General features: G+C 37.1%; 2 protein-coding genes and 1 pseudogene across 4 annotated transcripts in view; all 3 read left to right on the top strand.

The window, feature by feature from the left end:
• The first annotated feature begins 9236 nt into the window (after positions 1 to 9236).
• Positions 9237 to 16362, top strand: TAAR2 (trace amine associated receptor 2). 2 transcript variants are annotated; one of them, NM_001033080.1, is made up of 2 exons: positions 9237 to 9296; positions 15367 to 16362. In NM_001033080.1, exons 1-2 carry the CDS (start codon positions 9237 to 9239, stop codon positions 16360 to 16362), a joined length of 1056 nt encoding a protein of 351 aa, NP_001028252.1. The 2 variants fall into 2 exon arrangements, with proteins under 2 accessions (NP_001028252.1, NP_055441.2); NM_014626.3 differs by lacking the exon at positions 9237 to 9296 and having other exon boundaries at positions 15419 to 16362.
• Positions 16363 to 16764: 402 nt separating this feature from the next.
• The window catches only part of TAAR5 (trace amine associated receptor 5), a 28156-nt gene continuing 17101 nt past the window's right edge, over positions 16765 to 27819 (top strand). The window contains exons 1-3 of the mRNA NM_001389527.1: positions 16765 to 16812; positions 24151 to 24328; positions 24912 to 25008. The gene's annotated coding sequence lies outside the window, so the exon portion shown is untranslated. The remainder of the gene's footprint in view (positions 16813 to 24150; positions 24329 to 24911; positions 25009 to 27819) is intronic.
• Positions 24210 to 25287, top strand: TAAR3P (trace amine associated receptor 3, pseudogene; annotated as a pseudogene). The gene has a single exon (NR_028511.1). The product of NR_028511.1 is annotated as a trace amine associated receptor 3, pseudogene (transcript).

Raw genomic sequence — 27819 nt, 5'->3', positions numbered from 1 at the left:
TTTATTAAGTACTGCTGTACTTAGCATCATGTTTGGCACAGAGAAAGTCACTCACTGTATGTTTTTTAGCTGGATAAATAATAAATAATAAGGTGTCCAAGGGGACACAATTAATAAATGTTAGAGGTAAGATTTGAGCCCAAGTCTGTCAGGCTATGTGTTAGTCCATTTTCACATGGCTAAAAAGAACTACCCAAGACTGGGTAATTCATAAAGAAAAGAGGTATAATTGACTCACAATTCCACATGGTTGGGGAGGCTTGGGAAAGTTATAATCATGGCGGAAGGGGAAGCAAACACATTCTTCTTCACAAGGTGGCAGAAGAGAAAGAGCGTATGTAGAAGGAACTATCAGACACTTATAAAACCATCAGATCTTAAGAGAACACACTCACCATCACGAGAACAGCATGGGGAACACAGCCACCATGATCCAATGACCTCCTACCCATTCTTTCCCTTGACACATGGGAATTATGGGGAATAACAATTTAAAATGAGATTTGCGTGGGGACACAAACCTAACCATATCGGGCTACAAACTCTACCCACTTTCCTGTCTCAGGAAGTAGGGTCAACTGTGAGAATACTGTAGGGATTCATAATTTTATCCCCAATTAAATTTAAGAGAATGTGCCTATGTGGGTTTAATTTTGGCAAAAAAAGTGTATTCTTTATTAATATAATACAATTTTAAAAGCAAAGTTATTAAAACGTATATTCTGAAACCATTAACTAGATTTGACTTATGGCCTTTTACCTGGGCCTGTGTTGGATCCCTAACTGCATTGAAATTATTTGGGAGGATGGGATTGAGACTCAGAAATCTGCAATTTTAATACATGACTTGGTTTCTTTGAAATGAATGCAGTTCTAAGAACCATTGATTTAGATCTTTAATAAAAAGGAATTCTAAGCTTTTCAGTATATATAGTAGGTTAAAATTTTAGAGGAATTATGAAGACTACAATGTTTAACACTTCACTCAGAAGCCTCGGCTGTGAGCTCCTGTAGGCAGCCTCATTCATACCCCGTCCCTGCCACAGAGCCTGGTACAGGGTTGCTGCTTGATGAACATTTGTCAAGGAAGGGAGAGAAAAAAGACATATTGACTAGAATGCAACAATTTTAAACCAGCAAGGAAAAACTTTATTTCTGAAGTTAGTTCTTGAGATTTCAGTGTTTTAATATTTTCTCAAACTAATGGTACCTTGATCGTCTAAGTCAGGGATTCCCAAATCCTCTCAGTATGAAGATTGGTGTTAGTTGTGACAAACTTTTTATAGGTAATTGTAAAGTGAGAAAATCAAAACAATGTGGTGAGCTTTTCATATCGGAAAACTTATTCAATTTAATAGACTGTTTGTTGTCTAAGATTATGTCCTTCCTGAATTTCCAAGATTAATATGCTCCTTTCATTTAGAAAATATAGTGATAATAGAAAGTATTGAATAAACCTACATTTGTCCCCCCAAATTTTTTTTAAAAATGTTTATTAATGAAATATCAGAATGCACTATTTCAGCTTTTCAATTGCCCTAGTGGCAAGAAAGGTGTTTGGGGCAACAAGATCTTATAGTGGGCTTGAGAAGGACCAGGGAGACTATGGTCAGTGCCAACCATCAAGGAAAGTAAAAGCACAGGGACTCCTAACAACCCACAGTCACAATCCACTAGAGACTGGTGATAAAGGCAACAGCCAAACACAGGCAAATTCTTGCTACTAAGAAAAAAGTTGGCCTTATTCTGTATTATTCCCTCTTCTGGCAGAGGAGCTTACCTTATTCAATATATGCAGTATATCTATAATTTTAATTTTTGAAATTACTTATTAAGGGACAAACCAAATGAGTATTTAATTAAGGGTTTCCTGTATCAGCCAACCAGGGCTGAGGAGTGATGTTAGTTGAATGGTTTTCCTGAAACTTCTGTTATCTTCCAGATAAGAAACTCCTTGCTCTTTGCTCATGTGCCAAATCTATAAACATTTACATCAAATAAGTATATAGACTAAGGCACAGGTCACTGTCTTGCTTATCGTGCATCAGCTAAAGTTTTCTTTCTCAGGTTTACATTTGGCCTTTGCTTAATAGTCTGAGAATTCCCCAGGTATTTGTTTCCTCATATAAAGTTTGGTGATAAATGTTTTCCTCTCTCCACTAAGTACACCTACTTCCCCAGTGACTTCTAGTGTGAAGTTATTTCCCATCATCATCAAAGCCAAAGAGCAGATGTGTTAATGATGCCCTCTGGTCTCTATTTACTCTGAAGTTTGGCAAATAAGAGTAATGTGAGAGAGATGCTGTTTATAGGAGTCTCTTTGGACTGGGGACTCAAGTTTACCAAATCACAGCTTCAAAGTGTCAAACTGTAAATGAATTGAGGTAGGCATTGGTAGATAGCCAATCAACACATTTAATTACTTCTATAAGCAATCCTCTCAAGACTCCTTTTAACAACCAGAGAGTTTGTAAACAGTGATCTCAATCTTATATGCTTGAAATGTGTTGATAACTCTAAGCCCAAATGGCTTAAAGTTTTCATCTTGTCTGTGTCTTCTCCTAAATGTGGGACGTTACAGAAAGTTTTGAGATTAAGTAAAAACACACAGATCATCACCTGGTCTTCCTTCTATGGTTTGTATTACTAGGAACAATAAAATAAAACACACAACAAAACACAATGAAACACCACAGTACAATGTGTTTTACAACCGTATTAGACTAGAGGTGGAGTTACCAGAATGCTACATTAGAACATGAGCAGCCAGATCACAGATTAGCTCTACGTTAAAAAAAAAAAAAAAAACGCAAAATGGCAATCATTACCTGGGTAATTAAATCACTTGAATTGTTTTCTTCATCACTCCTATTACCACCAACAAACAAAGGAAGCCAGAATCATTACTTATGATATACCTGGAAATACATTGGCCTGAGTTTGTTTTCAAACACTTGTGATGACCGGCTGCCTAGCAATGTTTCACAACAGAAAGTATTTTACTAAACCTCTTTAAATATCAGTTTTCTCACTTCTATAGAAATATGAATAATATTTACATTCATATTTAATACATAACTTTCAAGGTTCAAATAATACATAACTTTCAGGGTTCTTGTGAAGAGGTATTCATTAATTAAATTATTTACTTATTCCTATAACAAGTATTTATTGTGCATGTATTATATGCCTATAGGTGTGTTAGCTAGATGCTAAGGATTCAGATGTGAACAAGACCACTATGTTCTCCAACCCTCTGGAATTTCCATGGGAATTAAATGAAGTTTTCTTTCCCAAAAACGGAAATTATTTTTATCACTTATTTTTTCAGTCACATATGATAACCTTTGCTAAATGAAATGAGATACTTGTCATGTATTTGAATAATGTACAGCATATAGTTCATAGCACATGATTAATAAATTTGATTTATAATTATTATTTACAATTCACTTCGCCATTGTACCTGGTTCATAGGCACAGAAATAGAATTAAAACCTATATCCCTAACTGCCAATTCTGAGCCCAGATCACAGGATACATCATCCTATATCATTATATGATATATTGTAGGAAACTCAGAAGCTTACTGTTGTGATCATATTCTGATTGACATCTAGTTTCCTTCTTTGTCTGTCCAACTCATATAAAATATACTGGTGATTTCCCATCAATTGGTCTTCTCCTTTGCAGTACGTGCCCAACGTTCTACATGTGCTGAACTAAACCAAATCATCTCACTACTCACCCTTCTCTTCCCACATTCTCTATTGAATCGCTCTCCTTGCAATTGCTCAAGCTGAAAACCTGGGGGTAATCCTTGACTCCTCCTTCTCCTTACTCCTCATCCACCAGTCAAGGATGGGCAAGGCATCTTCATGCAAGTCTTAACTTTCCCTTCTAGGGACTCTGGATTAATTCCCAAAGTGGTTTTTATTCCTCAAGTCTTCACCCCTCTAGTTCATTCTAAGATCTAAAATCAACACCCTAACATCACGATTAAAAGAACTTGAGAAGCAAGAGAAAACAAATTCAAAAGCTAGCAGAAAGCAAGAAATAACTAAGATCAGAGTAGAACTGAAGGAGATAGAAACATGAAGAGCCCTTCAAAAAATCAATGAATCCAGGAGGTGGTTTTTTGAAAAGATTAATAAAATAGATAGACTGCTAGCCAGACTAATAAAGAAGAAAAGAGAGAGGAATCAAATAGAAACAATAAAAAATGATAAAGGGGATATCACCAGTGATCCCACAAAAATACAAACTACCATCAGAGAATACTATAAACACCTCTATGCAAATAAACTAGAAAATCTAGAAGAAATGAATAGATTCCTGGACACATACACCCTCCCAAAACTAAACCAGGAAGAAGTTGAATCTCTGAGTAGACCAATAACAAGTTCTGAAATTGAGGCAGTAATTAATAGCCTACCAGCCAAAAAAGCCCAGGTCCAGACAGATTCACAGCTGAATTCTAACAGAGTTAGAAAGAGGAGCTGGTACGATTCCTTATGAGTCAATAAAAAAAGAAGGACTCCTCCCTAACTCATTTTATGAGGCCAGCATCATCCTGATATTGAAACACGGCAGAGAAACAACAAAAAAAGAAAATTTCAGGCCCATATCTCTGATGAACATTGATGTGAAAATCCTTAATAAAATACTGGCAAACCGAATCCAGCAGCCCATCAAAAAGCTTATCCACTACAATCAGGTCGGCTTCATCCCTGGGATGCAAGGATGGTTCAACATATGCAAATCAATAAACTTAATCCATCACATAAACAGAACCTATGACAAAAATCACATGATTATCTCAATAGATGCAGAAAAGGACTTTGATAAAATTCAGCACCACTTCATGCTAAGAACACTCAAGAAACTAGGTACTGATGGAACATATCTCAAAATAATAAGAGCTATTTATGACAAACCCACAGCTGGTATCATACTGAATGTGCAAAAACTGGAAGCATTTCCTTTGAAAACCAGCACAAGACAAGGATGCCCTCTCTCACCACTCCTAGTCAACATAGTATTGGAAGTTTGGGCCAGGGCAATCAGGCAAGAGAAAGAAATAAAGGTATTCAAATAGGAAGAAAGGAAGTCAAATTGTCTCTGTTTGCAGATGACATGATTGTACATTTAGAAAACCCCATAGTCTCAGTCCAAAAACTCCTTAAGCTGATAAGCAACTTCAGCAAAGTCTCAGGATACAAAATCAATGTGCAAAAATCACAAGCATTCCTATACACCAATAACAGACAAACAGCCAAATCATGAGTGAACTCCCATTCACAATTGCTACAAAGAGAATAAAGTACCTAGGAAAACAACTTACAAGGGATGTGAAAGACCTCTTCAAGGAGAACTACAAACCACTCCTCAAGGAAATAAAAGAAGACACAATCAAATGGAAAAACATTCCATGCTCATGGATAGGAAGAATCAATATTGTCAAATTGGCCGTATTCCCAAAGTAATTTATAGATTCAATGCTATTCCCATCAAGCTAACATTGACTTTCTTTACAGAATTAGAAAAAAACTATTTTAAATTTCATATGGAACCAAAAAAGAGCCCGTATAGTCATGACAATCTTAAGCAAAAGGAACAAAGCTGGAGGCATCATGCTACCTGACTTCAAACTATACTCCAAGGCTACAGTAACTAAAACAGCATGGTACTGGTACCAAAACAGATACATAGACTAATAGAACAGAACAGAGTCCTCAGAAATAACACCACACATCTACAATAATCTGATCTTTGACAAACCTAATAAAAACAAGCAATGGGGAAAGGATTCCCTATTTAGTAAGCGGTGTTGGGATAACTGGCTAGCCATATGCAGAAAACTGGAACTGGACCCCTTCCTTACATCTTATACATAAAGTAACTCAAAATGGATTAAATACTTAAAAATAAAATGTAAAACCATAAAACCCTAGAAGAAAACCTGGGCAATACCATTCAGGACATAGGCATGAGCAAGGACTTCATGACTAAAACACCAAAAGCAATGGCAACAAAAGCCAATATTGACAAATGGGATCTAATTAAACTAAGGAGCTTCTGCACAGCAAAAGAAACTATCATCAGAGTGAACAGGAAACCTACAGAATGGGAGAAAAATTTTGCAATCTATCCATCTGACAAAGGGCTAATATCCAGAGTCTACGAGGAACTTAAACAAATTTACAAGAAAAAAACAACCCCATCAAAAAGTGTGCAAGGACTATGAACAAACACTTCTCAAAAGCAGACATTTATACGGCCAACAAACATATGAAATAAAGTTCATCATCACTGGTCATTAGAGAAGTGCAAATCAAAACCAAAATGAGATACCATCTCAGGCCAGCTAGAATGACAATCATTAAAAAGTCAGGAAACATCAGATGCTGGAGAGGATGTGGAGAAATATGAATGCTTTTACACTGTTGGTGGGAGTGTAAATTAGTTCAACCATTGTGGAAGACACTGTGGCGATTCCTCAAGGATCTAGAACTAGAAATACCATTTGACCCAGCAATTCCATTGCTGGATATATACACAAGAGATTATAAATCATTCTACTCTAAAGACACACACACACATATGTTTATTGCAGCACTATTCACAATAGCAAAGACCTGGAACCAACCCAAATGCCCATCAATGATAGACTGGATAAAGAAAATGTGGCATATATACACCGTGGAATACTATGCAGCCATAAAAAAGAATGAGTTCATGTCCTTTGCAGGGGCATGGATGAAACTGGAAACCATCATTCTCAGCAAACTAATACAGAAACAGAAAAACAAACACTGAACATTTTCACTCAGAAGTGGGAGTTGAACAATGAGAACACATGGATACACGGAGGGGAATGTCACACACCAGAGCCTGTGGGGGGGTGTGGCCAAGGGGAGGGATAGCATTAGGAGAAATACCTAACGTAGATGATGGGTTGATGGGTGCAGCAAACCACCATGGCAGGTATATACTTATGTAACAAACCTGCACATTCTGCACATGTATCCCAGAACTTAAAGTATAATAATAAAAAAACTTACTAATATCTAATCTATTTATTCTATTAATTTTGCTAGATGTATATTAAAACATCTCCCACAAGGATTGTAGGTTTTGTCTGTTTTCTCTTGTAGATGTCACTTTTCCCTAATACTTGGAAACTTTATTATTAAATCTAGAAATATATCTTCTTGGTAAATGAAACTCTTTTTTACTATGTATCCTTTTAACTTGCCATGTTTTTGGCCTCAACATATTTCTTTTCTGATATTAGTATGAGTATGGATGCTTTCTTTGGTTTATGCTTTTTCTGATATATGCTTTTTTAATCTTTTTACTTCCAAATTTTCTTTATTCTTATGTTTTAGATCTATGCTTAAAGTTTTAGATCTATGCATATACAGTTAAATGAAAAAATAAGAGCAAAACAAATTCCAAAAGACAGTAAAACATTTTCCAAAAGACAACATGCTATCCATTTTATAAAGAGTTCTAAAAACAAGCCAAACAATGTTTTGATTTACTTATATAAATACACATGGCACAACTATTAAATAAATAGAAAAACGATAAGCACAAAATTTAAGAGAGTAGCTACCTGAGGTGATAGGCAGAAAATACCATAGAGATGTATGTAAGCTATTGTTAATCTAGTTCTCAGTCATGTATGTTCATTTTGTTAGAAACAAACAAATAAGGCAAGCAAGACATACTTGGCATAATTATTGTAATTAATTCAAATTCTTTGTACCTGAGTTTCATTAAAAAATGTGAACTTATGTTCGTGACATACCCCTTTTCTTCAGCTTAAGGTACAAAATAAGATCATATCTCTTTGTAATATTCAAATTAATCTGCATTTTTCCCATTTCCCTTAGGGTCTTGTCTTTTGGTTATATTCTCTGAGGACTGAATCCAAAGACTGTTTTCCCAGGCTGCTAGCAGGTGTCACTGTTGAAAATAGGTGGTCCCCCTTTCTGTTGATGCCATTCCGACTGCCATGACATGGAGACACCAGGTTATGGGGGGGAAGCTGTGGTTTCTAAGGGCTTAGAAAAAACCAAGAGGAATGAGCTGGTACTCATTACATTTGCATCACTGCAGAGCTGTTATTCTTAAATCTTGTGTTCAGGATTGGAGACACTGGTTCTGAAGACTTTTCTTAGGCTCAGCTGTATATTGTTTGTCTCCAGGCTTTGATTTTAACTTTTCACCCCTGGTTCTCCTCCTGCCATCTGTCATGGTCTGTCCTGAGCTAATTTTTTAAAATTTTTTGTAGAGATGAGGTCTCACTATGTTGCCCAGGCTGGTTTTGAACTCCTGGGTTTGACAAGTCTCATTCCCTTTGCTCCACATAAGTTCCTTTGCGTGTTAAAAATACACATTAAGTTCTAACCTTCCCCTGCTACTCGTCTCCCACCTACATAATTAAAAGAGAACACTTAAGTAATTCTTTACAGAAACCAGAAAGTTTGTCCAAAATGATTTTTGGTCTCTCCCAGAAGAAATAGAAGTTGCTGGCAATTTTTGAGTAGCAATGTGTTTTGCTATTTCTACCCTTTTGGCTAATAGGTATAAAGATTTCTTTTAAAATACTTTCATATACATGATCTTATCTTATCTCATTCATAATATAAATCATTATTTTATCTCATCTCATTCATAGTATAACTATGAATATGCTTTGAGATGAAAAGAGATTTTTTTGTTGCTGCTCCTGTTTCACTTCTTCAAGAACTACTAGCCAGGCGTGGTGGGGCATGCACCTATAGTCCCAGCTACTTGGGAGGCTGAGGCTGGAGGATCGCTTGAGCTCAGAAGTTCAAGGCTGTAGTGAGCTGTGATCATGCCTGTGCATTGCAGCTTGGGTTTAAGAACAAGACTTCGTCTCTAAAAAAGAAAAGAAAGAACTACTAAGGGAGGTTCAGCCAGGACTAGCTATGTATTTTCACAAGGTCCAGTACAAAATGAAAATGTAGAGCCCCTTGTTAGAAAGTTATTAAGAATTTCAAGAGATCGCATCAAAGCATTAAGCGTGACTTCTTCAAAGCTCAGCTTCCATTATGACGGCACAATCTGCACGCCCAAGCAGTGGCCGTAGGCAGAGCCAACGGAGATCACACAGAGCACTGTAATTTTTATTCATGCAGGACCCCAGTTTCTTCTAATGACCAGGGTTATATTTCATCTACATCTGGGGTATCTTGCCTCCCATGGCTGTCTCATCAGAGCAACATGAACTTTCACATTTCAAAAGAACACAGACAAAAAAGGTAGGCCCTTAAACATATGACTAAGTTTAAACCAGTAGCATCTGAGAAGATTTTGGCATAAACATGTGAATTATTTACAAAGATAATAATTATGCTCAATTCCTCCAGATCTAAAAGGGTTGATGAAATGTGTTCTTTTAATCACATTTATCAAAGAAAAAATGAGGAAGACAATGGGTAAAGCCTCAGTGACTAGCATGTGAGACAAAATATGGACTGTGACTGTCAGATCTTTCTGAAATGATGGAGGACACATGCGCATTCTTCTGCTTGAACCAGAGGTCCCATCCATGTGTGGTTGAGATCAGGCTCCTTAGGTCCCCCCATAACTCAAGGGCTCAGATTTGTTTTCACAGCCTTTATGTAATAGCAGACTTAGAGCCTTAAATGCTGTAGGTGATAAAATCTTAGGTAAGCAGAGACTCCTGGGAGGATGGAGGAGTGGTTTAAGCTCATTGAGCTGTTAAACTTTTGAATGACAAGGATTTTGCTTTCTTTTTTTTTTTTTTCACTTTCAGATTTAATCCCCTTAAGACGAATTGTTAAGTTATAAATCAGCACAACTCACATAGTTTAGGTCTTCTGGTTCCATATACACATTAACAGTAGTTAGAGAAGAAACAAAGAAAAAAGTTCCTTCGGTAAGGAGTTAACAATGGAATCTTCTGCCGGTATGTGGAAGATGAGGGATTATGAAACAAAGATCTGTGTTTTCTCTTCCTTGAGGTTTTCTTAAGAAGTAAATTGCCATCCTGATAATGCCGTCGATTGCTGTTGCATTAGGTCTTCCTTTTTGAATTTTGGTCCTGTGCAGAGAGAATGTGTAGGCATGTGGAAGATTGTGGAAGGTGCAGGACTTAATATGAATTTGTAATAAAAGGCAGTCATTTTAACATGTGAACGAAATAACATGCTGCCTTCTGGCAGTGTAACAAGTTTCCTGGGAAGAATATTTAGAATCCTGGAAAAGCTTACCTCCTTATAAGTGGCTGAGCAAATGATCTATCACTGTCTTAACTATTAAGTATTTATAACTGTCTTAAGTATTGACAGTTACCTGGCCTTTTTCCTTACAATCCCATTTCCTCTTTTTCTTAGGAGAAATCTTTTCTGGTCAAATGTGTACTTGAACCTGCTAATTATTTACAACAAAGAAGGAAGGAAAAAAGGAAGGAAGGAGGGAGGGAAAGAAAGTAGCTTTCTTTTGATAGTGTGCTATATATCAGGCATTACGCTAAGCCTATTCATATTATATATTATACCATCCATTTAATATGTTAAGATTCATTAACTTTAAATATTTGATAGAAATTGAACAATCAAAAGAAATCAACAGCTTGGGTAAGGGCAAAATAATTCAAGGAAATGAGAAACAATGATTAGCTGGCAGAAAGACATAGTGAAATCCATTAAGTCTTAAAAGTGGTTACTAGGCAGGGTGTGGTGGCTCACGCCTGTAATTCCAGAACTTTGGGAGGCCAAGGTGGGCGAATGATGAGGTCAGGAAATGGAGACCATCCTGGCTAACACAGTGAAACCGTGTCTCTACTAAAAATACAAAAATTAGCCAGGTGTGGTGGCACGTGCCTGTAGTCCCAGCTACTCAGGAAGCTGAGGCAGGAGAATCACTTGAACCTGGGAAATGGAGGTTGCAGTGAGCCGAGATTGCACCATTGCACTCTAGCCTGGGCTACAGAGGGAGACTCCGCCTCAAAAAAAAAAAAAAAAAAAAAAAAAGTGGTTACTAAAGCAGAGGAATATTTATTTACCAATGAAGCATTAATCATCAAATATAAAGACTAGGCAAAAAGAAAAGACATCACAAAGAAAAATCAGAACATTCTGCTTCCTCCTCCCTACCCCTTAAAAAAAGAAAAAATAATAATAATAAATAATTAGAAAAAATAGAAAATTCTTTGTCATTGTGGTCATGGTTCTGTAGTTTGATCACTTTCTCAGGGAATATAGAAAACACTTTTATTTTAACAATTTAGTAGAATAAAATTTATTTATTCACAAGCAGAATGGGCAAACAATTCATTATGTTACAAATCTTTATTTTTTTGTGTCTGAGCTTCTTTTAGAAACGTAACAGTAATGGCGAAAAGATCTGACATTCCATTTAACTCTATGGCAATCCATGTATCTATAGATGCTTATGTTAACAAGTTTAAAAATAGAAAAAATGACCCTTGAAAGCTATAGCCTTTAAAATACTGCTTTTACATTTAGCTTTCCTTAGACAACAAATATGAAAGATATGAAAGATACGGTTTTTGAAAGGTTCAAACTGATGATAGATGTCACATGAAAGAACTATGTCAAATAAATTATGGGGGATGTGATATTTAAATGGGATTAAAATTATTATTTGATGAATTCATCAAATAATCATCTGATATACCCCTCCATACTTTGTGGCATGTGTATGAGGAATTCAAGTGTGAATGTAGACATCATATTATGTGTTTCAAGAACGTTAGTACTTAGAACTAATTATCTAATTAAAGTTTCTGACAGTTAAAGGGAAAATTAGTCAAGCCCTGTAGCCTATGATTTTAGAATTAGAAAGATTCTGCATGATTTTAACAAGAGTGGGTGCAAGATGATTAATAATATCAAAGTGATTAAGCCAGGAACACAAAGAAGTTTGCAGGCAATTAAATCTTAAAATATACTGTTGTTGGAACAGAAAACCAAACACCACATGTTCTCACTCATAAGTGGGAGCTTAACAAGAGTACACGTGGACACAGGGAGGGGAACATCACACACCAGGGCTTGTCAGGGGGTGGGGGGCAAGGAGAGGGAGAGCATTAGGAAGAAATACCTAACGCATGCGGGTCTTAAAACCTAGAAGGTGGGTTGACAGCTGCAGCAAACCACCATGGCACATGTATACCTATGTAATAAACCTGCACGTTCTGTACATGTATCCCAGAACTTAAAGTAAAAGAAAAAGAAAAAAAAGTACTGTTGTTGTTAAATTGCCTTAAGCACAAGAATGTTGTATGTGTTTTAAAAGGATGTTCGTTATTTGTTGTTGTTTTTTTTTTTTTAGCTTTACTTTCTAAGAAGTAAAGTGATTTAAAAATAAACCAACAAAATTTGCTTTGGATTTCCTACGCTTTTTAATGAGCATACTGAAGATGGTCAGAAATCCTTTTTTCTTTTTGATAATACTGCATTTTCTCTCAGTATTTTCTTCTCTGGTGATGCCTAACTGGTCAGTAGGTGGCTAACAAGAAATGACAAGTAGCTAAAAACCTTAGTACCAAGAGGGAGGAAAATCTCTCGCTTCTCTTCTTTTTTCTTTCTGTCTTTTTTTTTGTGTGTGACAATGTTAGGAATAGCAAAATGCTATATGCACATATTAGAAACCCCTACTTTTTAATGTGTGTTTTTTAACTTTTATTTTTATGTTTTTTTAACTTTTATTTTAGGTTCAGGGGGTACATGTGAAGGTTTGTTACATACGCAAACTCGTGTCATGGGGTTTGTTGTACAGATTATTTCATCACCCCTGTATTGAGCCCAGTACCCAATAGTTATCTTTTCTGCTCTTCTCCCTCCTCCCGTCCTCCTCCCCGCTCTGGCCCCAAGTAGACCCCAGTGTCTGTCGTTTCCTTCTTTGTGTTCATAAGTTCTCATCGTTTAGCTTCCACTTATAAGTGAGAGCATGCAGTATTTGGTTAGAAACCCCCATTTCAGCTGTTAAAAATGAATATAGTTTAAGAACTGGTTGTACACATTTTAGACAGATCTGGATAAAACTGTTCTGATGAAACTCTTTCATGAATAAGTCAGCTGTTTCTGTAAACAGCATTTAGGGCGTCGGCAGAGACCTCAAATGCAGTTTGGTAGTGTTTCTATTTTGTGGTATGCAATCACCCAGGTGGCAGATATAAAGATGTTTAGTTCTATTGCTCAAATACGTCCCATCATACACCAGGCCATTAGTTCTCTGCAAGTGGGGACGAGGCCCCTGAGGAGGAAGAATAACGAGGAGAAAACTGCCTTGGAGTCGCCACTTGGCATCAGTTGGAGGAAGCTTTTAATTTCAAATCTGTACTCACTCTCTTGTAACTAACTTAATTACTTTAATTTAAAAAAATCATTACCCAAATTTAAGAACAAAATGGGAAATCTCTTTTGACTAATGCTGGCTAAGAACACTGGCTTGAGGAACAACAATGAAACTAGAAGCACTTTCTTCTCTCCCTCTATACTCCCCTCCACCTTGTATTCTCTCTGCGGTGTTTTAGGGGTCCCTGAGAATTCCTTTTAGAAGGTCTCGGAACACATACAGCCTTGTGTCTTTTCTTCATCATACCTTCTGTGTAGAACAGGCTTTTTCTCTTCTGTTCAAATCCTACTCACCCATTGAGACCCAGATCAAAAGTCATATCCTTGCTGGAACATTCCTGTGCAGTCCAGCCTGAAAAGATCTTGTCCATTTTTGATCTTGGATTGTACATTTTGCCTGGATCTCTTTTTGGTCAGGTGATCGCCGCTGTTGCTTTCATCTGAGGTGCAGAATCATGTAGGTTTTAAGTGTTGATGTGCTTTGTCTCTTCAGCTGCATTGTAGAATCTCTGCTGCAGGGTTGACCTTCATGCTTTCTTCTTCCTTTCCTTGTATCTTTCATATTGTGGACATTCAAGAAAAATGTCTTACTCTCTTTGTGATACACTCTTATATCACAGAGGCTGGTAATTTATTTGTTTATCTCTTGGTAACTGGTAAGGTCTGATATGTGTGAGGTCACTGAAGGCCAAAGGCATTTCTTCAATATTAAGAGTTATGCTTTGCATATAGGCAGCTCTTTTTTACCTAATGTACTTTTTAAAAAGAAAATCATTCTAACTCATGAACGTGTTACATTTCAAATATATATGGAAAGAATAACATGCAGATTTTAATATGTAAAATGAGCATTCTGGCCCAACACAAGGAGGGCATGGGCTTAATTTTCTTGTAGTAGAGATGGCTTGCTTTCTAAAAGTTCTCTAGCCCTCTGCTCATAGCCTTGTGTGTGGCCTACGCATGGCAACTTGTCAAGCTGTCATTGCATAGGGCTCTGAGTTACACTTGCTCTTCACAAGTAACTGAGGGTGGTCCAGCTTTGGTCTGTGCCCACCTCTGACTTAGCTGCTTTGGCTGATGCCATGCTTGTTAAGAATTCATGATTTGCCTTATAGATTGACTCTACCAGATAATTAGAGGTCATTAGATGATTCTTCCCCCTTAAAACAACATTCGTATGAATAAAACAAAACACAGCACAGTGAAAATAATAGAACACAAGAATGAAATTGTTTTCAAATAATAACCTCCTGATCCCACAGGTAATAGATCACAATCAAATCAAATCTGATTATATATTTCTGACTCCTTGGAGGAAGAAGTACATGTATTGTCTAATAGATATCTATTCTTCCTACACACGTAAGATACAGCTCAATAATTTGTTTTTTCTTCTTTTAAATTTCAAAGCCTGGCATAAAGTAAGAGCTTCCTAAATGTTGGTAGTATAGAGGAAAGTATGGAGTAAATAATGATTTTTTTTTTTTCTCGAGATGGAGTCTCTCTCTGTCTCCCAAGTTGGAGTTCAGTGGCACAATCTCGGCTCACTGCAACCTCCACCTCCTGGGTTCCAGCGATTCTGCTGCCTCAGCCTCCCGAGTAGCTGGGATTACAGGCACATGCCACCATGCCTGGCTACTTTTTGTATTTTTAGTAGAGATGGGGTTTCACCATGTTGGCCAGGCTAGTCTCAAACTCCTGACCTTCAGTGCTCCCCCTGCCTCGACCTCCTAAAGTGCTGGGATTACAGGCGTGAGCCACCGCACCTGGCCAATAATGATCTTTTAAGCCAATTAGGTTACAATTCTACAAAATTACAAATAAAGATTAAAATAAGTAAATGGGAAAGATCATGAGTAATATTACAGCATAAATTATCTTCCTTGATTCTTCTCTGCCTTTCTTGAGTTTTTCTATGAAAGCATATATAAAACATAGAATATTTATATTCTGACAAAATTCTATCTGTTCTTGTTTTTTGAAGGAAAAATTCAATTGCTCTGAATATGGAAATAGATCTTGCCCAGAAAATGAAAGATCTCTGGGTGTCCGAGTGGCTATGTATTCATTTATGGCAGGATCCATATTCATCACAATATTTGGCAATCTTGCCATGATAATTTCCATTTCCTACTTCAAGCAGCTTCACACACCAACCAACTTCCTCATCCTCTCCATGGCCATCACTGATTTCCTCCTGGGATTCACCATCATGCCATATAGTATGATCAGATCGGTGGAGAACTGCTGGTATTTTGGGCTTACATTTTGCAAGATTTATTATAGTTTTGACCTGATGCTTAGCATAACATCCATTTTTCATCTTTGCTCAGTGGCCATTGATAGATTTTATGCTATATGTTACCCATTACTTTATTCCACCAAAATAACTATTCCAGTCATTAAAAGATTGCTACTTCTATGTTGGTCGGTCCCTGGAGCATTTGCCTTCGGGGTGGTCTTCTCAGAGGCCTATGCAGATGGAATAGAGGGCTATGACATCTTGGTTGCTTGTTCCAGTTCCTGCCCAGTGATGTTCAACAAGCTATGGGGGACCACCTTGTTTATGGCAGGTTTCTTCACTCCTGGGTCTATGATGGTGGGGATTTATGGCAAAATTTTTGCAGTATCCAGAAAACATGCTCATGCCATCAATAACTTGCGAGAAAATCAAAATAATCAAGTGAAGAAAGACAAAAAAGCTGCCAAAACTTTAGGAATAGTGATAGGAGTTTTCTTATTATGTTGGTTTCCTTGTTTCTTCACAATTTTATTGGATCCCTTTTTGAACTTCTCTACTCCTGTAGTTTTGTTTGATGCCTTGACATGGTTTGGCTATTTTAACTCCACATGTAATCCGTTAATATATGGTTTCTTCTATCCCTGGTTTCGCAGAGCACTGAAGTACATTTTGCTAGGTAAAATTTTCAGCTCATGTTTCCATAATACTATTTTGTGTATGCAAAAAGAAAGTGAGTAGGCTTTTTCTGCATGAATAAATTGAAGCAAAAAACTAGAATTTAGAAGAATGAAGTTGTTTAAGATGTGTGTTTTTGTGCATGTGTGTATTATTTTAGCTACCATAGAAAGCTGTTGGTTTCTAAGACGAGAATAAAAAAAGGAAGCTTCTCTTTGAGCCAAGAATCCCTCCAATAGTTTTCAGAATTCTTTACACACCCACTACTTCCTGGTAGAGAGAAAAGAAAGAAAATTAGAAAAGTAAAGAGAACATGGGGGAAAGCCAGAGATGGAACAAAGAGGACACACAAAAGCTTTTATACTGTTCAAAAGGGGTCAAAACATAGGCTGAGCTTGGGAACTGCTTGTCTCCCTCCCCACCACAGACACTTTGTGTGATATTCCCATTTCATTTTTGTTCCTCAGTATCTTACCAGATGTACTTTGAAGCATCAGCAACTAAAAATGATAGGTAAGTAAATATGGAAATAACAATTTCAAAAACTCATATTCTTCCAGGAGTCAGTTATGTGTTAGCTGAGAGTTAAGCCTTTACTAGATTCTGCTGTTGTGAGAACAAACGTTTCTTAACTAAAAGAAGAAATGGCAAACTGAGTAACTGGGGCGACAGACTCCAGGCAGGTTTTCATTCAGGAGCCATCCTAATCACAGCAGCTGGTTAGTTCCCATGTTACATACAGTAGAACTCTGTCCAGTGTCTTCCTTTCCTCCGTAGGCTCATCCACATTTTGTATTGCTATTTGGTGTTCTGGTGTTTTAATAAATGTGGAATATCTACTAAAGTTTTGTTTTCAATCCATCATTCCTTTTTGCTTGATATTTATACATGTATTTTTTAATAACAGAGGAATGAGAGGAAGAAATAAAGAAGAAAATTATTAACTTTAGGTTGAGACTCATTAATAACTGATGGGCTGTGACCAGTGATGTGTTGGTTTAAGCTCAACACTGGGCTCTAAAAAGAACAGTCCTAATTTGTAGAGTTTGATGATTTCCATGGTATATACATTTAAAAAATCTTTCCTTATGAGTGATTTTAACCTATAAATGTAATGTCCTGAAATGTTAAAAAACTTCTCTTGAAAATAATCATGGGTGGTTCCAGCATACCACTGGCTGTGAACAATATTTTTAATGAAAAGCAAATTAGAATAGAAGAAAATAGATAGTATCAAAATATATCACTTGCACCGAGGCTAAGTATAGCCTCATGAAGTTTTATTTTCAGTTATATCTCGTGTGTGTGTGTGTGTGTGTGTGTGTGTGTGTGTGTTTATACATGGTAGTGAACTGTGTTTCACTGAAATATTCCTTGTTTAATTTCTTCATTTCCATTATAGCAATGAAAATTGTGAGTTTTCAAGAAGAGAGTAGTTATATCCAGGTGTGGTTATGAAAGTAAATCTGTCAGTACCTTTTCAATGTCCTTTTATGTTTCAAAACATAATCACCCTGCTGTGTTCTAGTGAGGATGACAGAGTGATCCAGTGTCCTGTATACTGGCTTCCTTCTACCATTCACTCTGTCTTCATTTCCCAGGATTAGTAAAATCATGTTCCTCAACACCGAGAATTTTGTAGTAAGTTACAGATGTGAAAACTGAGCCTGGGGGATTTAGTGGTTTACCCTGGATTCTGTGTTCTTTGTTTACTGAACTTTTTAATTTTTTTCATATTTGTGACATTTTAACTGGCTTTTTTTTTAAATAAAGATTTTCAAAATTCAAATTTGTACAAATCACTGAAGTAAAAATAAAAATTCTCTCACATCCCAATACTTTCTTGTTACATTCAGGAATCAAAGTGTAAACAGAAACATTTTATGATTCAGACAATTATTCCTCCCTTGGATATTAGCCAGCATTTAATTGAGCCCACAAACCTGTGTATTTTCAATATACGGAAACTTCTGTACTTAATCTTTCCAGAATGACCATGAAATCAGATATAAAATTGCCTTTCATTTGGAAAAAAATAAAACAAACTGGGTCATTAAAAACACACAGAGATGCCTGTAATCCCAGCACTTTGGGAGGCCCAGGTAGGCGGATCATGAGGTCAAGAGATGGAGACCGTCCTGGCCAACACAGTGAAACCCTGTCTCTACTAAAAATACAAAAATTAACTGGGCGTGGTGGTGTGTGCCTGTAGTCCCAGCTACTTGGGAGGCTGAGGCAGGAGAATCACTTGAACCCAGGACGCGGAGGTTGCAGTGAGCTGAGATCGCACTACTGTATTCCAGCCTGGCGACAGAGTGAGACTCTGTCTCAAAGAAAACCAAAACCAAAACCAAAACCAAACCAAAACAAACAAACGAACAAAAAACCCAGGGTATTTCAATATCCCTTGAGAAAGTTAAAAGAGCAGTCCCACTGGGGCTCCACAGTTAGTGCCTATCTGGAAGCTCCTGGATCTGAGTTCTCTACTCCAATTCTCCTGAGAGCAGAAGCAAACTTATATATGAATCATATACCTTAATCCTCTACACTAAACTTTCTGGAATTTCCTGATGTCGCACCTGCAAAGCCACAAGAGGACGGTCATTGATTCACAACTAACTTTTCAGGAAAGGGAAGGTACTGGGTCAATAAAAAGAATTGGAAATGTTCTAATCTTTTTAAATTATTGCTGATTTATTCTCTTCTTCAAAATAATTGAATAGTGATAGTTGTATTTTATAAAGAATCAGAAATTGTTGAAATGGGTTGCAATTGAGAAGATAGTTTTTAACTAAAAAACAATCATTATAATTTTCTGGTAAAAGGTCTTAAATTTTCCATCAAAATTCATTTGACAAGGTTGGTAAATTTTTATATAGTGGCATATAAAATACTTTTGCAAAGTACAAGAACTATGCGAGACATGATTCAGTAAATGTAGTTAGGTATTTCAACAATGCTAAAATGCACTTTCCTCTTTGGCATTATGTATCAATAATTTTAGATTTCAGTCTTAAATTCCAAGAGCCCTAGGGCTGTTAGAATTTAAAGGAGAATTATTTATGACATTATCCAAATTTGTGTTCAAATGAGAAACCTTTAAAAATCTGCTTCTTTGTACATGTAATTTGAGTTAATATATTGAAGAAGTGGAACACTAATAGCTCATATCTTCCTTTGCTGATCTTTCTTATCTGTTTTTCCAACAAAGAAAACTGAAAGGAAATTATAATTTACATTTATTTATATGCTTGTACATACATACATAGGTGGCAATGGCAATTGTTAAGTTCTTTGCCCAAATAGGTGGATCCTAGAAGAGGAGAACATATTTTATGGCAGTAGTGTCACTTTTATTTGGTGCCATGTAGAGCACATGTACAAATGCTTGCCTCTATGCTCAGAACCAGATTGTAGTCTACTACAAGTTATATGGTATTCATCCTGGAAGGCTGTGAAAATTAGATTCCTAACTTGGTGTTGCTATTAAGTCATCTCTGCCTCCTACTAAAATGAATGTGTCCAGACAATCAAAGATTCTCTTCAACAAGTATTAACTCCATGATATATTGCATTGCAAATCTGACTTTTTCCAAATGTATGTGGCTGGAGATATGCCAACCTTAGTCAGTGCTTAAAACTAAAACTTGAGGAGGAAAAGGAAAAGGTCCCAGTGGGAAATTATTTGTAATTATTAATATTTGAACATTTGTAACTTTAAAAAATGAGAATTCCATAGAGGCTATGTGATTCAACATAATAGATAACATAAAAATTTTGTTGGCCTCCATAAAAAAATTAAAGGAGCTAGCATAATTTTTATGAGGAAAAGCAGGGAGGAAGGCAGGAACAATGTTAATGGCCGCAAAGATCTGCATGTCAACTTTGAACGTATAAACAGGTTATGAAACAGTAAAAGTTTATTTGCAAATCAGTTATCTGGAAATTAGAATACAGTTTTCCAAAAGAACATTGTTAGTTTGTTAGAGCTGGTTATTGTGAGCCTCATTGTGTTCTTACTAGACAGATGCCCCACTGTGGAATGTTAAGATAACGATGAGGCTAGAAACTGCATCACATAATATATCTTTGTAAATATTTCGTTTATGGACTTCTCCAGTTCTGAAAGTATATGAATTTTCCCTTATGTGTATAGGAAGTTGCACATAGTGAAAGATTTGATCGCATGTTGAAACATCTTATAGAATCATCCCAATACTTAAAACATGGAACAGTTACTTATATGTAAGACCCATGTGAGGTTGCTTAAATGTCGTGACTGTGATCAATAAGGTCATAGGGGCAACTAGGGTGTGGCAGAGTCCCCTGTGTAATCATTAACTGCGTATGTATTCATGGACTTAAATACTGTATGAGTTTAACTGCAAGTCTGTATTCTGCAACAGAAAATTTCCTTTTATCTTTGAGAGTATGTGAGTTTTAACTGGAAGAAAATCCCCAACTCCTCTAAGTGGTAGATAAGGTGCAAACATTACATATGGGACTGAAAAGAGCCAAGACAACCCCATCTTCACACCTTAATGGGACACGGAGGGGTGTCATGCCACTAGCAGCAGCACCTCCCAACTGCATTTAGCTGAAATACTTCCACTTTTGTTTTCTTCTACTAACACTATCTCTGCCCAGACTCAGAATCTCTGGTTTTCTCATGCTATAGGATCAGTAAATTATATCTACACAAAATCTCTCAGCTCCTCCTGTCTAAATGCTACTTTGGGAGGGGTTATTTTATAAGAATACCATCAGCAATTCAATACCAGAAGAAATTTTCATGAAGTGTGCTCCTGAAACGAGTCCATTCATTTATAGGGACATTTTAAGCACATTGAATTAGTTGCTTTCATTGAAACAACACAGATATTTTTAAAGCAGTAATAATTTACAATTTATGTGTATGTTTATTCATTCAAACATATATCTCTAGCGTATACTAGAAGCCTTAACTTAGATACTGAGAATCCAGTGGTGATGGATAGACAAGTTACTTGTCTCATGGTGGTGAGTTAATATATTTTTTAACACAGATATAAATTCAACAATTATTTCTTAAGGCTATCACTAATGTGCTCAAATGGGGCCCAGGCTAGATGTTCACAACATTTCCTTGGTGAAAACCAAAGAATAAAGAGAGGCAATGAGTGGAGGACTACCTATAATGGAGAGAAACATATCCTCAATATAATTTTTAACAAGAGAAAAGCACACACATTTATTTAATATAAATTTTACATGACACAGGAGACTTCGAAAATGAATACTGCCTCAAAACTCTAAAAACTGTGTATTTTTCTGAACAGTCATGCAAAAGTATGACAAAAGGATATGATACAGTAGTAATAAACTGGGGGCTAACTTAACAAGGCCTGTTTGTTCAAATTCTTCTTGATGTTTCTGTGTGACATTCTTTTCCCCTGAGTATAGGACACAAGAGAGTCTTATGACCTATTTTAGGAGAAGACCAGATCATTCTTTTAGGGTCTGCTTCAGGGAAAAAGTGGGAGAAGGCCAGAGTAAACTTGCTTCCGCTATTTCCTCAAATGCCAAGGTGCCATATTTTGGGGTACCCTATCCTGAGCCCGATCAACTTTTCCTTTAAAAATTTTTAAAATTACTATGGATACATAATAGTTGTACATATTAATAGGGTACATGTGATGTTTTGATACAGGCATACAATGTGTAATGGTCAAACCAGAGTAACTGGAGTATCCATCATCTCAAGCATTTATTATTTTTTTGCATTAGGAATATTCCAATTCTACTCTTTTAGTCATTTTAAAATATACAATAAGTTATTATCAACTATAATCACCCTAATGTGCTACTTAATACTAGATCATATTCATTCTATCTAACTGTATTTTTGTACCTATTAACCATTCCCTCCTTATCCCCCTCTCCCCACTATCCTTTCCAGCCTCTGATAACCATCATGCTGCTCCCTATCTCCATGAGTTCAATGCTTTTTTTTTTTTCTTTTTTTTAGCTCCCTAAATAAGTGAGAACATGAGATATTTGTCTTTCTATGCCTGGCTATTACAACTAACATATTGTCCTCCAGTTCCACTCATGCTGTTGCAGATGACAAGATTTCATTCTTTTTTATGGCTAAATGATAACTAATATTGATCAGGCATGTCCCAGGACTGCAAGTACCATTCATAGAATCTCCGCATTGAGTCCCAAACTTTATTTCCTATTTTTCTTTCATCTTGTTTCTCTGCTCTTCTGTTTCCTATTTGTTTACAAGAAGATGATCTAATATGAACCAACTTTCTGTTACGAATGATTCACAGACTTTCAGAGCTGGAAAGCCTGCAAGGCTCATCTAGCCCTGCACACCTCCCATCACCAAGGGCTCACAGCTGGCTGATGGCAGAAGCTGGACTAGGAGAACTCTCAACGCAAGGCTCTTTTGCTACCTCCTCTTTGGAAGTCAGTGATGTAAACTTTTAACCTAGAGAAACAAGGGAGTCACATGGAACAGTCAGCTCTATAAAAGGTCCTCCTAAGACTTTGCAAGGAGACACCTTCCTGTGACTTGGTAATAAGAAGTGTCTCTAACCAGCAAAATTCAGGTTCTTTTATCACAACGAGGTGACTTTTCTTCCCCGTCGGTCAGGAAGAATGACAGAATCAAGAAAAAGGAAGGGAACTTCTAGCACCTTGAGATGAGGAAGGGGCCAGTTTTTGCTCTTTCTTGGGGGTTATTTCTGTGCTCTTTCTTAGGATTCTAAAGCACAAACTAAACTGAATCTGCCTAAATAGATGAACTTGTTAAATGTACCCTGCAGTTGAGTCTTTATATAGCTTGGGAGAATTCAACATAGGCCTAGGGTGTCTCCTCTGTCTGATTCACTCAAGATTGGGCCTGCTTTTCTGTGGCCCACTAAGCAGACTCTGTGCTTTGTTATAGGCACAATGTCAAGCTTCTCTTGAGGCTGCTAGGGAGTGGCTTTTCAGATTGATGTGTATTCCGAAGCAAATAGCAAAGCAAGCGTGACCATTTATTGGAAGTTTTTATTTATGCCATTTGTCCACCCTCCTTTATTCAGCCCACTGTGACCAAAAGGAGTCATGTGAGATTTGAGTAACTGGGTCTGTGAGTGTGGAATTTGTAATTTTTATTGGTCTCTCAGGGATGGAACATATGACATGGCTTCACTAGTTAGAATCTCAGAGAAGCTATAAGACTTAAGAAATAAGGGAAGGAGCATGAAGAGTAGAGGACAGGAGAGGCAGAGGGAAGGACAGGAAGAGAGTAGCAAACAGAGAAGCTAAGAAGCATTGACCCAGGTGCATGTTTTAACCCATAGGTACATGGCTTTCAACAGCCATGTTTCATGGTACTGCATGTTTCGGCAGCAATATGCCATTTATAACTCTTAAAACATTTGCACACTGTTTACAAATGAAGATTTCAAATTGTCAAAAGAATGCCTAAAGAAAAACTTTGGTATTTCACTTGGTTTTTGTGTATTGAGTAATTTTTATGATGCAAGAGATATTAGCAGCCACATTCAAAACAGTTTATAGGAATGTATCTGTTCAAAGTGAAAGTTGCCCAAACATTCTTGAAAATCTCCCATTTCCTTACCAGGAATAAAGCAGTCAATAGATAAACCTATGTTGGATAGATGGATGGATAGATGGATGAAATGGAGTTAAATAGAATAACACAGAAAAGAATACACAGCTGAAAATTGTCATTTTTCTAACGTACCAAGTAACTCAGAAAGCAAACACAGTTGATATAATTTAAAATATTTAAATAAATTACAATTGAAGTGAATTAATAATAGATAACTTTGAACAATCTTGTACTATTAGGAGCTGAAATTTACTGGAATCATTTTAAGAAGAGAAGAAACAGTGACTCATCCTCCTGGAAAGAAATTTCAAGGGATAAAGCACCATGGATCTAACTTATATTCCCGAAGACCTATCCAGTTGTCCAAAATTTGTAAATAAATCCTGTCCTCCCACCAACCGCTCTTTTCATGTCCAGGTGATAATGTATTCGGTTATGACTGGAGCCATGATTATCACTATTCGGAAACTTGGTTATAATGGTTTCCATATCGCATTTCAAACAGCTTCACTCTCCCACAAACTTTCTGATCCTCTCCATGGCAACCACGGACTTTCTGCTGGGTTTTGTCATTATGCCATACAGCATAATGCGATCAGTGGAGAGTTGCTGGTACTTTGGGGATGGCTTTTGTAAATTCCACACAAGCTTTGACATGATGCTCAGACTGACCTCCATTTTCCACCTCTGTTCCATTGCTATTGACCGATTTTATGCCGTGTGTTACCCTTTACATTACACAACCAAAATGACGAACTCCACCATAAAGCAACTGCTGGCATTTTGCTGGTCAGTTCCTGCTCTTTTTTCTTTTGGTTTAGTTCTATCTGAGGCCGATGTTTCCGGTATGCAGAGCTATAAGATACTTGTTGCTTGCTTCAATTTCTGTGCCCTTACTTTCAACAAATTCTGGGGGACAATATTGTTCACTACATGTTTCTTTACCCCTGGCTCCATCATGGTTGGTATTTATGGCAAAATCTTTATCGTTTCCAAACAGCATGCTCGAGTCATCAGCCATGTGCCTGAAAACACAAAGGGGGCAGTGAAAAAACACCTATCCAAGAAAAAGGACAGGAAAGCAGCGAAGACACTGGGTATAGTAATGGGGGTGTTTCTGGCTTGCTGGTTGCCTTGTTTTCTTGCTGTTCTGATTGACCCATACCTAGACTACTCCACTCCCATACTAATATTGGATCTTTTAGTGTGGCTCCGGTACTTCAACTCTACTTGCAACCCTCTTATTCATGGCTTTTTTAATCCATGGTTTCAGAAAGCATTCAAGTACATAGTGTCAGGAAAAATATTTAGCTCCCATTCAGAAACTGCAAATTTGTTTCCTGAAGCACATTAATAAAAAGCTGTTGCAAAAGTGAATAGAATATTGCAAATGAGATTGTTATTATTTTGACTTGCAGCACATACCTTACATCCCCAGATCACTGCAAACATGATACTATTAAATTTCAGTAATCAACGTTAAGTGTTCTATCACCTACACAAGAGGTACATTCACTATCTTTGACTAGTAAATCAATTACTCAATTATTTGTTAATTGTTAACCCACTTCCAATCCACACTCACCTCTGACTGGTAGGGAAAATGTACGAAAGAAATATAAAACATAGTTCAGACTAGGTTGGCCTAGATTTACATACATGAGATAATTAAAAAGCAATATAAGAATTTTTTAAAAAGTGTTGGCTTTGGTTCCTATCTGATACCATTCTAGGAATTCAGGAAAAGGAAGATCATGCGACCTGTGGGTCCATGAAGGAAGTGTACCTTAAGGTTGACCTCTATTAACAACTAGCGGCCTGCCTTATCATATGTTTTGGGAGAATCATTAACCATCATTTTTACAAACTATTCAGTTATTTTCTGATACCTTTAGGCTCACTACTGCCATAGGTGAAGCAGGTTGATTATGAATCACCATATGCAATTTGAGCTTTTGCCTTTGCGATTATTAACTTTGTGGTTTACATTTGAAGTGACTTTCTGGTTCCTGCTTCTCTAGAATCTTAATCTGCTTGGTATGTCTCCATGATTGGCCAGCAATCACAAGGCCTCTCCTTGTGCTTGTTTCAACCACTTTCTCCAAAAGTCTTCCTTAGGGTACCCCCCAAACAAATTTCATGACACCATAATACCTATGATCTAAATCAGATCATTAACTTTGGTGAACATTTTTTCAGTGATTTTTCTGTGAAGTATTAAGAGGTCAATAGAACCTTCATGAATTGGGAAATACATGAGCACACATGTCAGTCATGTCCACAACCCCTCATACCTGGGATTATGTTGTAGGAGGGAGAAGAAGAGAAGGAGAAGGAGAAGGAGAGTAGAATGTTCCCTTTTCTTCCTTTTCTTTTAATTTTAAAGTTTTTTGTATGTTTGTTTTTGAGACAGGGTCTCACTCTGTCACCCGGGCTGGAGTCCAGTGGCACAATCTCGGCTCACTGCAACCTCTGCCTCCTGGGATCAAGCAATCCTCCCACCTCAGTCTCCCAAGTAGCTGAGATTACAAGTGTGTGCCATCACACCCGGCAACCTTTTGTAGTTTAGTAGAGACAGGGTTTCGTCATGTTGTCCAGGCTGGTCTTGAACTCATAGGCTCAAGCAATCTGCCCTCCTCAGCCTCCCAAAGTGCTGGGATTACAGGCATGATCCACCCCCAGTGCACCCAGCCAAATGTTCCCCTTCTCCTGACCAAGGTCAGCCTTAGGTGAAACTTTGAAATCGGAAATTTTAATTTTGTCTTTTTCCTGTCTCTTTTCTAAGTTCTTCTCTCCCAATACCCAGATACTCTTTGTCCTAGATCCAATCATGGAAAATTATCCAGGCTCAACTTCCGTCTCGAAGGGCATTATAATTCAGTAAGGGCTACCTCCCTGTCACCATCGTTACAGTTTTTATTCCCTCTACTTGTTAGGCAAAAAGTAAATGTGCCTAATAAATGCGTAATTGATAGCAGTAAAATATTCTCATTTTTACCAAAGGATATTTACCTTTGCATAATTACCAAAGGATAATCCAGTCTAAAGGCTGATCTCCATTTGAACAATTTTGGCTCTATCTAGGAAGGGACATTAAGGTGAGAAGAACTGCCAAGTGTCTTCTTCCTGATAGTCTCATAGGACAGTAGACATCACCCACTCATGCCTCTCCCTTCACAGGTGAGGACATTAAAATTGACTTTCTCCACTTCTGTAGTGATAGATCATTTATACCCGCTGGTCCTTCTACTTGTGGCTTCTTTTCAGTTCCTGTTTTAAAAATTCTTATTTGTTTCTCTACTTATTTATTTATTTAATTTGGAGGGATATTTATTTAAACTTTAATTTTAGAATCAGGAAATGCATGATCAGGTTTGTTACCTAGGTATATCACACGATGCTGATGTTTGGAGTATGGATGAATCCGTCATCAAGGTAGTGAGTATAGTGAACTCCAGGTAGTTTTATTCAATGCTTACTTCCCTCCTTGTCCTCTCTTGTATTCCCCAGTGTCTACTTTTACCATTTTTATGACCATGTGTACCCAATGTTTAGCTCCCACTTATAAGTGAGAATAGGCGGTATTTGGTTTTCTGTTACTGCATTAGTTCGCTTAGGATAATTGTTTCCAGCTAATACATGTTGCTGCAAAGGATGCTATTCCATTCTTTTGATGGCTGTATAGTCTTCCATGGTGTATATATACCACATTTTCTTTATCCAATCAACTGTTTTTGGGCACCTGGGTTGATTCCATGTCTTTGCTATTGTGAATAGTGCTGAGATGAACATACAGATGCATGAGTCTCTTTCAAAAATAACTTCGATGTTTATCTAAGATTCAGGGGGTACATGTGCAGGTTTGTTACATAGGTATATTGTGTGATGCTGAGGTTTGGGATATAAAT

This window comes from Homo sapiens, chromosome 6 (genome assembly GCF_000001405.40).
Source record: "Homo sapiens chromosome 6, GRCh38.p14 Primary Assembly".
NCBI classification, from domain to species: domain Eukaryota; kingdom Metazoa; phylum Chordata; class Mammalia; order Primates; family Hominidae; genus Homo; species Homo sapiens.
The sequence above is the reverse complement of the archived record's forward strand: the minus strand, read 5'-3'. Positions and strand labels throughout refer to the sequence as shown.

Excerpts from the sequence above, each read along its gene's own strand:
- TAAR2 (NM_001033080.1), top strand. The coding sequence starts at position 9,237 with ATGGCTGTCTCATCAGAGCAACATGAACTTTCACATTTCAAAAGAACA. Across the intron at positions 9,297-15,366 it reads AAAGAACACAGACAAAAAAG|GAAAAATTCAATTGCTCTGA; the intron begins GTAGGCCCTTAA and ends TGTTTTTTGAAG.